This window comes from Homo sapiens, chromosome 10 (assembly GCF_000001405.40).
Source record: "Homo sapiens chromosome 10, GRCh38.p14 Primary Assembly".
In the NCBI taxonomy this organism is placed as follows: Eukaryota; Metazoa; Chordata; class Mammalia; order Primates; family Hominidae; genus Homo; species Homo sapiens.
Window position 1 is genome coordinate 116,734,751 of NC_000010.11, and position 13,148 is coordinate 116,747,898.

A 13,148-nucleotide genomic window follows, 5' to 3' on the forward strand; every position below is an offset into this window, starting at 1 on the left:
TGGGAGGCCGAGGAGGGCAGATCACAAGGTCAGGAGATCGAGACCATCCTAGCTAACACGGTGAAACCCTGCCTCTACTAAAAATACAAAAATTAGCCAGGCGTGGTGGTGGGCGAGTGTAGTCCCAGCTACTCGGGAGGCTGAGGCAGGAGACTGGCATGAACCCGGGAGGCGGAGCTTGCAGTGAGCCGAGATCGAGCCGCTGCACTCCAGCCTGAGCGACAGAGCGAGACTCCGTCTCGAAAAGAAAAAAAAGAAAAAAGTTCATCCTGATCTGTCAAAGTGCAAACATACTGGGAAAAATTGAGAATGTGCCAACACAACTTTTCTGAATACCACCATCATTCTTCATTTATCACTTATAGAAACACATGTTCTAGCACAACAAACAAATAATTGTAAGTGTCAGACAATCACTGGGCACTTGCAGAACGTCTTAAGAAGTGAGATCTAACCTACAAGTTGCTTTAAAGCATAATATAGTTTTCTAAAGTTTGTAGTTTCAACATTTTTGCCAAGCCAACTCTGTTAGATTAAAAATAGCCACACATTCTTTGCAGGTCCTCTCACTAAGAGGTGAAGGCAATTTCTCCATCCCTCTATCTGAGCTGGCTTCAAGACTTGCTGTGACCACCAGGAATACAGCAGACGTGATTTTATTGGACTTCCCAGGAACGCCTCAAGAGGCCTTGCAGCTTCCCCTCTCATCCTCTTGCTGTCCTGAGGCCACCACATAAAGAAGCCTGAGCTTGCCTCTTAGAGGATAAAAGACCATGTGGAGAACGAAGCCCAGCCGACAGCCAGCACCAACCCCCAGACCTGTGAGCGAGGTCATCTTGGACTACCCAGACTAGTTGAGCCATCAGAGTGTTGCAGTCACATAAGTGACCACAGGGAAGACCACCAAAACAACCACCCAACAGAGACCTGCCCAGAGAATCATAAGCCATAAAATGACTATTGTTGCCAGGCACGGTGGCTCATGCCTGTAATCTCAGCACTCTGGGAGGCTGAGGCAGGAGGGTTGCTTGAGCCCAGGAGTTTGAGACCAGCCTGGGCAACATAGTGAGACCTTGTCCCTATTTAAAAAAAAAAAAAAAGCCAGGCATGGAGATGTGCACCTTTAGTCCCAGCTACCCACAAAACTGAGGTGGGAGGATCGTTTCAGCCCAGGAAGCAGAGCTTACATAAGCCAAGATCACGCCACTGCTCTCCAGCCTGGGTCACAGAGGAAGACCTTGTCTTAAAATAAATTTTTTTAAAAAGACTATTGTTTTAACCCATTAAACTTTGGGGTGGTTTGCTACATAGTAAAAGCAAATATAATGTGACATTTTATAGACATTTCAATAACTTGTTTAATGCATTGATTGTTTTCCCTGCTTGGGAGCCAATAAACCTTTTTATTCAGATCTCAATGAGTCATGGGCCCCTCAGAAGGGGCTAAATCAGCCCTAAAAGTAACAATGTCTCTAAGGACCCTACTGAGATTGAATAGAAGTCAAGGGTTGATCCACAATCCAAACTCCAGGGAGGGCAACCCGCAGCAGGTGCACGAGGAACCTGACCTAATGTACAACACGGAGGAGGAGTCATTTCCAAACTTCAGACAGCTCCTGAGGGACACAGAAGACTCTCCAACACCCCAAACCTAGGCAAGACTCCAATCTTTCTGGCTATGAGAGGCTCGATAATAGCCCCCTGGTACCGATGACTATGTTATCTCCTATGGGAAAAGGGAGTCAGCAGATGTGATTAAATTAAGGATCTTGAGATGGGGAAATGATTACACAAGTAGGCCTAATAAGAGGTCCTCATACAAGTGTCCTTAGAAAGGGAATGGGAGGAGGAGGGGCAGAGTCAGAGAAGGGATGTGGCAATGAAAGCAGGGGCTGGAGTGATGGGCTTGGAAGATGGAGGAAGGGGCCACGATCCAAGGAATGCAGGTCACCTCGAGAAGTTTGAAAAGGCAATGAAATGGATTATCCCCTAGAGCCTCCAGAAGGAATACAGTTCTGCCAACACCTTGGTTTTAGCCCAGGGAGACCCATTTTGGACTTATTCCTGACTTCCAGAAATGTAAGATAATAAATTTGTATGGTTTTCAGCCATTAAATTTGTGGTAAGTTTTACAACAGCAATAGGAAACAAATGTACTGGATAATTCCTCCTGCCTACAAGAATGTAAGTTGGGACATTTATTCATAATAACAATAACAGCCAATAATAATTGCTCATATTAATTCAATGTCTACTTCATGCCCGGCTCTACTCTGAGTGCTTTTCATATAAAAACTCATTTAATTCTCATAAAGGCCATATGAAGAAGAGACTGTTATAATCCATACTTTACAGATGAGAAAAACTGAGGCTTTATGGGGTTAAGTAACTTGCCAGGGTCACAGAGCAGGTCAATGACACAGCACAGATTTGAACCCAGGCAGTCTGGCCCCAGATCTCACATTTAACCACTACGCTTCCCAAATCAACCTAACAATGATAATAAAATGACTGGAAGTTACTGAGAGCCCTCTGTGTACCAGGCTCATACCTAAGCTCATTACAAATACTCTCTCATTTCATTCTCACAGCACCCCAGTAGAGCAGAGATTATTAATCGTCCTTGTCTACAGCAGAAAAAACAGATGCAGCAACGTTAAACCCAGATGTTACAAGCATCTGAGACCAAAGCCCAGGTTTACCTGCACACCCTACTGCCTCCCTCATCCGTCTTGAGGCCCGGATGGCTGAGAAGACAAAGATAAGGAGCGCAACCACATAATTCACCTTCCAAACTGAGATACTTAGAAGGTGAAAGATATCATTATTACTAATTTCACTAGGAAAAGAGGCATAAACTAGAACTATTCCAGCAAACCAGGACATATGGCCACCCTAAAAATAAGGGGACTAAAATCAAGGCAAAAACTCTGCAGCTCAGGATTGCCCAGAAGGGGTGCCATGGAGCAGCTGCCAGCCCCGCAGGACATCTGCGGCTGCCAGGTCACGGTCAAGGCTGGAAGAAGAGGGGTGGTCCTGGCAGAGCTCAGAGCAGCATCTGCAAAGCTGCAGCCTGGGAGTCATTTGCAATGACAGGAACGCAGCAAGGATCAGCAGGGCCCGCTTCAGTGGGGCAGGTTTCAATTCTGAGCACTGCCTGTGCTTCCTTGGTCGTCTCCTCGCTGGCCCCGCTCACTCCTGGGGATGCCCAGGCCTGGGGGTGCCCGCAGTGGCAGGCGCTCACTCATTCCCTGCCACACGCTGCTCATTCATTAAAAGCCCCTGATTCCTCCCCGCTGTTCTAATTATGCACAGCAGTAATAAAGATGCTTTCTCCCTTACCAAAGAGGCCTATTTATATGAAAAGAGAGCATTTCGCCCCCACAAGATTGAGTCGTCACTCCAGGCCTTATTGGAATCAAAGCAGCTTCTCTTCTGAGATTGTCCAAGCCCTGCCTGACTCCCCTCCAGCTTGGCCCACTCCTGAGCATCCACATTTCCAGGAGCACCACTGCGGAGTGGGCAAGATGTAGACGCCATTGCCCTCTGCTGTGTTCCCTCATGTCTTGCTGACTGACACTCAACAAAAAGTAAGACATTTATTGAACACCTACTAGTGTCCTTAGTAAAAAAAAATGGAAATGAAAGACATAGTCCACGCCTTTCTCGGAAGAAAGAGCATTGAGAGAAACAGCACAAGATTTTAGGCTCCATGGCTGACTCATATCCCAACTCCAGCATTCACTGGTTGGGCAAGTTAGCAAGTTTTTCAAAGCCCTCAATTGCCTTATCAGCAAAATGGGGTAATAATAATGCCAGCCTCACAGGGTTGCTGGAGGAGTCAATGAGATACAGGCATACAAAGCTGGCATATCGTAGGGCCTCAACAAACACTAGTTGGAATTATCAACCATTAAGTACCGAAGGCTTTGGGACCACACAGGCAGATCTCATCCCGATGGATGAGCCCAGGAAGGCTTCCTGAGAGGTGATACCTTAACTGAGTTTTGAAGGATGAGTAGGACCTTGCTAAACAAAGAGAGGATGTCCCAAGCAGGGAGGACTGCATGTGTCCAGGGCCAAAGGCGATCACAAGGCTCTGGGAAACACAAGACACTGTGTAGGGACATACACAGAAGGCATGGGAGGACCACCAAGGCGGCAGACAAGTTGCAGCAGCAGATGTTGACACGGAAGTGGATCCCATAGCCAGAACCCTAACCTGCAATGCCCAGAGCATCACCCTGACCTTTGCTTACTTCCTTTGGGGGCTATAACCAGCGCCCTGTCACTACCATCTACAGCTTGGTGGCTGAAGGAAGTAGGGCAGCCACTCTCTATTAGCCGCAGGCCTACTCAACACAAGTCCCTGAGGGCCTATGACATGCCAGGCACATGCCAGGAGAGGCTGTTCAGCTTGACCACCTGGGGCCTGCATCCCATGGCCTAGGTCCTTACCTAGGCCCCCTTCCAGCTGTGCGCTGCTAGGACTGTCAGCTTTTTCCTCTGTGAAATGGGGATCACAGGGCGTCCTTCATAGTCATTCATTCAACAACAAACGTGGTCAGGGCTAAATGAGATAACTCAATATTCCCAGGTTTCAGCACACACTAAGTCCTCAATAAAAGTGAACGTTTAAAATGTTTATTTTTATTAAGATGAACCTCCAGGATGGCATCTCCAAAGCCCAATGCCAGGCCTCGAGAGATACCCTCAACCCAGGCAAAACTGCCTGCCCACCATCCCTCTCCTCAAGCCCGTGCCCTGGAAAAAATGACTTGGTTTCCACTCTTCATGTCTAGCCCTGACTTGGTCACCATAGGAGCCATCCCTGTCCGAACCACTCTGTCCACCCCCAATTCATCTCACCCTTCTAGGGCTCCATGTGTCAACCCACTCAGGTCATGCGGGAGGGGGCAGGATTGAAGGTCATCTCAAATTTTGCTGTCCAACACCCAGACCCTCAAGTGTGGCCCTTCAGATTTTGTAAATTAAGTAATTTAAACATCTTATTAAGAAAATTTGCAAACATACACAAAGTAAGCAGAATAGTAATGAACCGCCGCTCCCCATCACCCAACTACCACATTTTGCCATTCTTGTTTCATTGGCACGCACCTCTGCCCACTCCCCACCCCACCCCAACTGCACTTGTTGGAGAAGATTTCATGGCCAGCCTTTCTGACACCACCCCCCAACACCACCTACCCACCAGCAAACCCCTCCCCAACCCAGGACTGCCACTGCTCACAAATTCCAACAGTGTGATATTTGTGGCACCCATCCTTTTGTACCAAAAACATTCTGGAAATCCTTCCCAGGAAGCACAACCATTTTTTTATGTCCTTAATAGAGTGGTAACCACTGCACACATGCATAAGGGCTGTATGCACAGGTTGGTGCCCTGGAATCAGATGGCCTGGGTCCCAAACAACACTTCCCAGATGTGTGACCTTGGATAGGTCACTCAACCTGTGTTTGGATTTCCCACCCAGGAAGGGGAGAATGCTGGTAACAGGTTTGTTGTGAGCCTTTAAAACAATAAAATAATGCACGCTCTTTTCCCAGCAATGAGGAAACCTTAGAAATAAGTGTAGGGGCCAGGGGCAAGCCAACTCTGCTCCTATGCAATACTATTCACATCCTCCATTTTACAGATAAAGGGAGAGGTGCCCAGAGGCACAGTGAGCTGCCAGGGACAGCCCGCTCTTCAGGTTGGTCTCTGTCCTAAGTCCATGCACCTGGAATTCTCACTGGCCACCTTGAGCTGGAGATGACTGGAAGTGAAGAAACAAATACTCCAGAACAAACGCAGAAGAGCGGTGGCAGGTGGCTCGGCACACCAGGTATGGGTGTCCCCATCCTGGACAGGATTTCTCCCAGCACCGTGTGTGTGTGTGTGTGTGTGTGTGTGTGTGTGTGTGTCTGTGTGTGTGTGTGTGTGTGCGTGTGTGTGTGTGTTAGGATAGGGGTGCTGAATTTGATTTACAAGACAAAACAGTGTTGGGAAAGGTGTGGGGAGTGGGTACACATTCCTGCCCACTTCTGATTTGACAAATCCTATGCCCAACCTTGTATTTGGTATCATCGCCCACCCTATCCCAGCATGAGAGGCAAGAAACTGGCTCAGTAATTCTCAGGCTTTAGCAATTCAACGCCCCTACTTATCGTCCTAAAAATTTTTTTATTTTCTGACTTAAAGGAAAAAAGTAAAAAAAAAAAAAAAAAAAAAAAAAAGAGTCAATCCAGTTGCTGAGTGATGTTCAGACAAAGACAGCTGCCAGTCCATTGCCTGCGTTCACCAGCTGAGGAAGAGTACAGGCGGGGACTGGGTGTGTGTTTGGGGACGGCCTGGGCTCTCCGCTGCCTCTCCCTGGAGTGAGCCCTGTCAGGATCCCCCACCCGCCACCCTGCACTCCCCCACCACTGCAGTGCCGCGTGGGGAGGCACCTCCCTGATCCGCAGGAACAATGGGCTGGGGTGGGGGCAGGTGCGGCTTGGAGTGCAGCAGAGGGTGGGGGCCGCAGGCCCGACAGCAAGACAGGGAACCCAGCGCAGATGGTGGCTGTGCTGCCACTGGACTCAGTTTCTCCAGCTTTTGGGGCCCCGCAGAGCCAAGCGCTCGTTTCGTGGCTGAATCTCCCTTGCGTCCCGGCATTTTAATATCATCCTCGCAGGCGGCTTGCCTGTCGCTCCCGGGAAAGATGCCTGGGCCGCGCTCCTCTCCCCGGCGGCCGCTCTCGCCGAGGCCCTGCAGGTCAGGGACGCGCGGCGCCTCCATGCGCCCAACTTTCCCCACTTGGGACCCACAGGAAGACTGGAATCCTGGCCAGCCGGGCCCTCCGTGGGAGAAGCCTTGATTTACAGCCCTGGGCTCCGAAACCTGCTCGTCCTCTTCCCGCAACCCCCTTCCCCGTCCTCTCCGGCTCCCCCACCCTTCGGAGCCCTAATCACGCTCCCCAAAGAAAGCGGCCCTAGCACATCTGCAAAATGCGAGCGTCTGTCCTCCGCACTGGGTGCCTCCCCCTGCCCCCCGCAAGGAAGGGACCATCGAACCCCCGCCGCTTCACCCTTCCCCAGCCCAGTGAGTCCCTGGGGATGGGCGGGGAGGTGGGTGAGAAGCCCTTCGGCCGCAGCTGCAGCCCCCACTCCTGGCTCGAGCGTCCGGCCGGGGTGGGATGGGGCGAGGGAACAGGTCCAAATCTCCGATTTCCCCCAGGCTCCCACTCCTGCCTCGCTGAGTCACGAAAATTACCCGCTGGGGCCACCCGGCCACCCGGCGGCGGGCCCTTTACCCAGCCAGCGCCGGCCTCCGCAGCCCATCGCGCGGGGGCTGCACACGCGGGGCGGTCCTCACCCGCACGCGCGACCAGCCCCGCAGGAGGCGCCACCCGAGGCAGGGACCAACCAGGCGCCTCAGCGGGGGCTGCAGTCCCCGCCGCGGAGTCCGCACCCTGGCGGGGCGCAGAACATGTGACCCGCGGGCCGTCTCCGGTCCACCGGACCCCGGCCCCCGGCCCCGCTGCTGCTGACCCCGGCCCCGCCCGCCAGAACTGGATGCAGCGCGGGCGTCCCCACTTTTCCACGGCGCGCGAGGGGGTGCGGAGCGTTGGGCCAAGCGCGCCTCCTCCCTCCCTGCCCCGCCAGCCGCGGCCGCAGGACCCGCAGCCTGCGCTCACCTCGGGGCCCGTCGCTGCCGCCGGCCTCCTTGTCCGCCATGGTCGCGCAGCCCCGGACCGCGAGGGGAGCCTCCAGCGCAGCGCCCGTGCCCGTGCGGGTCTCTGTCCGCGTCCGCGGCGGCGCTCGGGCCGTGTCTGAGCCGCCGGGCAGCGGGAGCGCTGCTCTGACGCGGCAGCCGCCGCAGCCACGGCTCCTCCCCGGGCCCCGCCCCGGCCCGCCCGGCGCCCCGCCCCTCCGAGCTCGGGCCGGCCGGGAAAGGTCGGGGAAGGCGGGCGCGGGGAACTGCCTGGCTCCGGAGCTGCGCTCCCCGCCCGCCCAGAGCGGCCCGCCGAGGCCCGGCCTCTCCTCTCCCGGCTTCGGGACCGAGCGGTCGCCCCGCAGTCGACCGCGGCGGGGGTAGTGGCGCGCCCGGGGCTGCGCTGCGGGAGCGGATTTCAGGCCCTCGGGGCCCCGCGGCGCGTCCCCTCTTTGGAAGTCACCGAATGGCCAGGCCTGGAGCCCTTCAGCAAGCCCAGCGCGCCCGGCGCTCTCCCGAGGACGCCCGCGCCAGTCCCCACCAGCTTCTGTCTGTCCCCCAGGGTCCCAGGGGAGCGGCCCTGGGCCGGCGCAAAGGCGGGCTGGGTGGACCCCGGCGCGGGCAGGACCCAGGCCGCAGACCAAGGACCTGCGCGGGGGCCGAGCCCGGGGCACCGCCTCCAGGCCGCCTGCGGGACTCCATGGCAACTCCGGACCCAGGGAGGTGCTTGCCCCGGAGGCTGAGTCGCGCCTTCCATATATGGGATCCAGCTGGGCCCTCCTTAGAAGTCTGAGAATAACGATATTAATAATGCAAGGCTTCAGTTGTGAATGATTCATACTCCCTGTCCCCAGCTCCTCCACACACACGCGCCGCTGGCACCTGTTTGGGCCTGGCCAGGCACCCCCTGGGTCCGCGGTGTCACCACCCTGCCTTGGCAAACGAGGGCAGTAATAGGAATCCGAGGAGCACCGTCACTGGGTCGTTTCCGGGTGCCTGGCACTGTGCTACCTGCCTGGTGCTTTACCTCTATCTCCTTTCCTCCCCATAACTAACATTTTGCAGATAAGGAAGCTGAGGATCGGCAGGGTTACAATATCACACCCAGCAGGTGAGTCGCGGAGCTGGGATTCCCACCCAGCTGTAACCACCAGCATCCCTCACTTCCAGAGATGGGTGGCATTTCCCAAAGATCACCTAGGGGAGGCTTCATCGTACAATCCCGTTCTGGATGACGGAGTGGGCAGAGAGCTGCTGCGAGAGCGTTATGGATGACGGAATGGGCAGAGAGCTGCTGCGAGAGCCTGGAGACCAGAAGGTGATGGCAGAGTGACAAGTTCAAAACACAAAACTTGTCTTCTGTCTGCCTGCATTAAAAATCCCAAATGGACAGTTCCTGGCTGTGCATGAAACCACAGTCAAGTTATTTAACCTATCTGAGCCTCAATATTCTCATCTGCGAAATGGGTATAACAGGAGAACCCACTTCATAAAACTGAAGATTAGATAGACTATGCATGTAACATGCTTAGCTTGGGATCTAGCACATGGTAAAAATCATTAAGTCACTGATGGCCCCCGAGGGCCCTTCCTGCCTACGTGCCTGCGACAGCCTGCCCACAGCTCCCCCGCCCTCCTGTCTCACCCCTTCAGTCCATGCTTTGTGATCTGGTCTGTCCCCACCCTACTCCAGCTCCAGCTACAGCCGCTCTGATTCTTCAATCCCTCTCACCCACCCCTGCTTCTCTTATGCTGGTATTTCAAAGACATGAAAATGTGCTTGATGCCTGGATCACCCGTCCTCTCATTTCACCACCACCAGCAACCTAAGAACTTCTCCTTCTCATCATGGACTGCCCAACTCCAGGAAGGCTCCCCTGCATACCCATGCTGGCCAGGGGGGCCCTCCTCAGTGTCCTCAAGGCACTCGTTCCTCCCCATCAGACCAGGGCATCAGGACATTGGCCTTGACAGCCTGTCAGAAGCAGCAGAAACCCGTAGCCCCTGCACATCTGCCTCCTGCTGTGGAAGGGCCTTGGGCGCCACGTGCCCTCATGGGACTCCCAGCCACAGTGACATGAGGGTGCGTGAGAAGGATGGGAGGTGACATGCAGGCCCCAGTGCTGGGGGCAGAGAGCAGAACACTTTTGATTTGCAGGGGAGCATGAAAGGCAGCGCACACTCTGCCTGGGATTTGCCCTCACGGCCTTCATGCTCATCACACTAATTACAACGCGCCCTGCTGAGCACACCATCCAGCCCGCCAGCGAGGGGCTGTTGTGGTCTCACCTAGTTCTCATGGTGGCCCTTGCGGTTTTGCAGGAGAGGAAAAGGAAGCATTCAAAGGCTGAGGCACCTGTTCAGGCATCCTCTGGCCATCAGCAGCAAGGCTGGGGTTCAAGGCTCAGCACGCCACATCAAGGAAGGGTTCCCACCTTCCTCCCTGGAGTCTTCTTCCCCAATAGCAGCCAGAGAGAGAGCATGTCATTCTCCTGCTACCAGGTCCTACACAAATTGGCCTCCTGATGCCTCAGTGACCTCAGCTCCTTCCACTCTCCCATTCCCCCCAAAGCCCAAACACACACAGGCCCCACCTGGGGGGTCACTCCCCCGGACACATCCTTCAAGAGAATCAATCACGTGGCTTGCTCCTCCCAGAACACTCTATCTAAAACTGCTGCCTCGCCCCCACTGGGAAGTAAGTCCCAGGAGAGCAAGATCGTGGACTGTGTTGCCAGTTCTGCATCTCTGTGTCTAGAACAGCGCCTGGTACATGGCAGGCACTTAATAAATCCTTGATGCTTGACTGGCTGAATCAGTAAGTGAAGCGGGAACACAGCCCAGCACACAGACATTCTGCTGACCCCCAGGGCTCATGCCTTTCCACAGCCCCAGCTGTCTCAGGGCACGCCCAGACTCCTGGGAGGTTGCTCTGTACCAAGTTCCCTCAAGCTCCCCTCCAAAGACTCCTCCTCACAGTGCTCTCTGTGGGTACACTGCAGCACCCTCTATACCATCTCTTCTCCACCCTCCACACCCTCCACAGGCTGTAGACTGTGGTAGCTGGTGGAGAGAATGTTACACATCTCGGTTGGATACTCAAGTCCTAAAAAGTGGCCCAGCCCAGAGCCAAGTGACCACCTTCTAGTTCCCTTCCTGCTGGTCACTCCAGCTTCAAGGGCCTGCCCTCAGGTCCCCAAAGAGCCAGTGCCTCCACTGGAAGCCGATTCTCCTCTAGTTTTGCCAGGTAACCAACCCTGTCTCTTCCTACAGGCCTCAGCTTGGATGGCACTTCCTCCAGGACACCACCTAGCCCTCCAAGATCACATGAGGCCCCTCCTCTCTCCTCTGTGCCCAACCCCCCATCACTCCTATCTTAGCACTTATCACAACAACTCCAAGGTCAGTAGTATTGTTAACCCCATTGTACAGATGACCAAACTGAGATACAGAAAGGTCACTGAGCTCAGAAGCTGCAGTGCTGAGACTAGACCTCTGAGACCAGAACTCAGGTCTCTCCAGCTTCAGGTCACCCACCTCCCCCTCTAGCTGCCAGCTCTCCAAAGTGGGACCAGCCATGTCCACATTTAGAGCCCCCAGACCCTAGGATGGTGCCTGGCGCAGAGAGCAAAACATTGATGGAAAACAGCCTCCTCAGCTTCAGGCCTTTCTCATCCTCTCCGGGATCCCGTTCACCCACAGCCCCACACACGCTTCCCTGCCAACAGACTCCCTCTCTGCTCTTCAGCCCCCAAACAAACCCCCACCACATCCATTCATGCAAATAGAAGTCAGAGTCCAGAGGCAGGCCCAGCTAACTGCACCAGACAGCCAGGGCACTCTGTCACCTGCTATAACTACCAACTGTGGAAAGGGCTGGACATGATGCACAGCATGGGTAGGGGAGGCAGCTGAGTCCTCTGGCCCCCAGCTCAGAAGAAACTGAGGATAATTGTTGATGGACCAGATGCTAAGGGCAGTGAGCCCTGGGGGATGCATCAGGACCAAGAATGAGAAAAGTACAACAGGAGGAAGCAGAGAGCATGGGGTCAGCTGGACCAGGGCTCAAGTGGGCTCAGCTGCTCCCTGCCCACCTCAGGGGACCTGGGACATACCTCTCTGGGTCTGTTTCCTCACCTGTCAAAAGGGCCCAGTAATGATAGGTATCATAATTATAAGAGATCATATATGTAAAACATTCCATTTAGAGTCAGCCTATATATGCCACTGTTAATATGACTTATTTAATTTATATATTTGAACACAAAAATGCCATTTCCTTGTATATTATAAATTACAGAATGGATCCAGGCAAGATTTTCTTGGCTGATAAAGACACACAGAAGATATGAGTAGCTTTTTCCATTTTAATTTTTCTTTTATGTTTTTGTTAAGCTTAAGAAACACTGATATGAGTTCATATCTGAACTTTGACATAGGACACTGCCCGTCAAAGCTGCTTTGGACTTTAGGATATGCCAGCGGAACGTTGTCCATGAACTGAATATCATAAAAGAGACTAATTCATAACAGGACCAAGATTCAGATTTGCTAAAGCAACATAAAAACTTGCAGAGAAAACCTGGGCAAATGTCAGCCGCCTTGACCTCCAACTGTCAGTGCATTTTAAAAAGCCAGCCTTACAGCTGAATCATGGTGGCCAGTGTATACATCCTCCCCACCTCACTGGTCTTCCAGTCCATCTGGTGTGAATCGGTCTCTCCATTAACATTCCAAAACAACCTTCACATGTACAATGTGAGCTGCTGAGCCACTCTTTCAGGCAAAAATTCAAGGGCCAGAGGAAATTATTGCTCCAAATATCACCATCACTCAGGACTGCAATGTAAACTTTAGAAATGCCTTCTCAGGTAATGGAAGGTTATCCAAATATTTTTCGTAAGTATTTCAAATAGCAATGGCTCGTCTATGGTTAGTCTCGCAGCCACATTCTCAGAACTGCTCAAACCCTGGCCCTGCAAAGCTGCCGGTTCATTAATAAGACGGGACATCCCGGAAGCCACATCTCAAGGAGGACAATGCAAACTGAGACAAAGGTTCAGAGAAGAGAAACTGGCATGATCACGTGACCAGGAGAGTTTTCACAAGGGCTGCAACTCACCAGACACTATGAGAGCCAAGGGTTTCATGTTATGGAGAAAAACAACTTTCCTCTTCTCCAGCCCACAGCCCAGTGCCTGGCTTGCAGTAGGTACTCAGTAAATGTTTGTGGATGGAATGAATAAATGGTCCAGTAAATAAATAATGGAGGCTGGGCATGGTGGCTCATGCCTGTAATCGCAGCATTTGGGGAGGCCGAGACGGGTGGATCACTTGAGGTCAGGAGTTTGAGACCAGCCTGGCCAACATGGTGAAACCCCGTCTCTACTAAAAATACAAAAATTAGCTGGGCATGGTGGTGCGTGCCTGTAATCTCAGCTACTTGGGAGGC

At 53.2% G+C, this 13,148-nt stretch overlaps 1 protein-coding gene across 4 annotated transcripts in view, besides 3 other annotated features; it reads right to left on the reverse strand.

Annotated features, from left to right (window-relative positions):
• Positions 1–13,148, reverse strand: part of HSPA12A (heat shock protein family A (Hsp70) member 12A) — a 179,556-nt gene that overhangs the window by 63,559 nt on the left and 102,849 nt on the right. The window contains exon 1 of one of the 4 annotated variants that reach the window (NM_025015.3): positions 7,680–7,816. The exons of the other annotated variants lie outside the window; for them this stretch is intronic. Within the exon in view, the coding sequence (NP_079291.2) occupies positions 7,680–7,719 (40 nt within the window). The 5' untranslated portion in view covers positions 7,720–7,816. Of the gene's footprint in view, positions 1–7,679; positions 7,817–13,148 lie in introns of those variants that run through there. 4 annotated transcript variants of the gene reach the window in all.
• Positions 7,681–8,130: a silencer, noted in NCBI's record as "silent region_2855". NCBI's record gives its function as "represses an Ori minimal core promoter by ATAC-STARR-seq in GM12878 lymphoblastoid cells {active_cell/tissue: GM12878}" and the evidence as "EXISTENCE:reporter gene assay evidence [ECO:0000049][PMID:35858748]".
• Positions 7,681–8,385: an enhancer, noted in NCBI's record as "H3K27ac-H3K4me1 hESC enhancer chr10:118501942-118502646 (GRCh37/hg19 assembly coordinates)". NCBI's record gives its function as "activates a minimal SCP1, AML or CMV promoter by ChIP-STARR-seq in primed H9 embryonic stem cells {active_cell/tissue: H9 hESC(primed)}" and the evidence as "EXISTENCE:reporter gene assay evidence [ECO:0000049][PMID:30033119]".
• Positions 8,386–9,089: an enhancer, noted in NCBI's record as "H3K27ac-H3K4me1 hESC enhancer chr10:118502647-118503350 (GRCh37/hg19 assembly coordinates)". NCBI's record gives its function as "activates a minimal SCP1, AML or CMV promoter by ChIP-STARR-seq in primed H9 embryonic stem cells {active_cell/tissue: H9 hESC(primed)}" and the evidence as "EXISTENCE:reporter gene assay evidence [ECO:0000049][PMID:30033119]".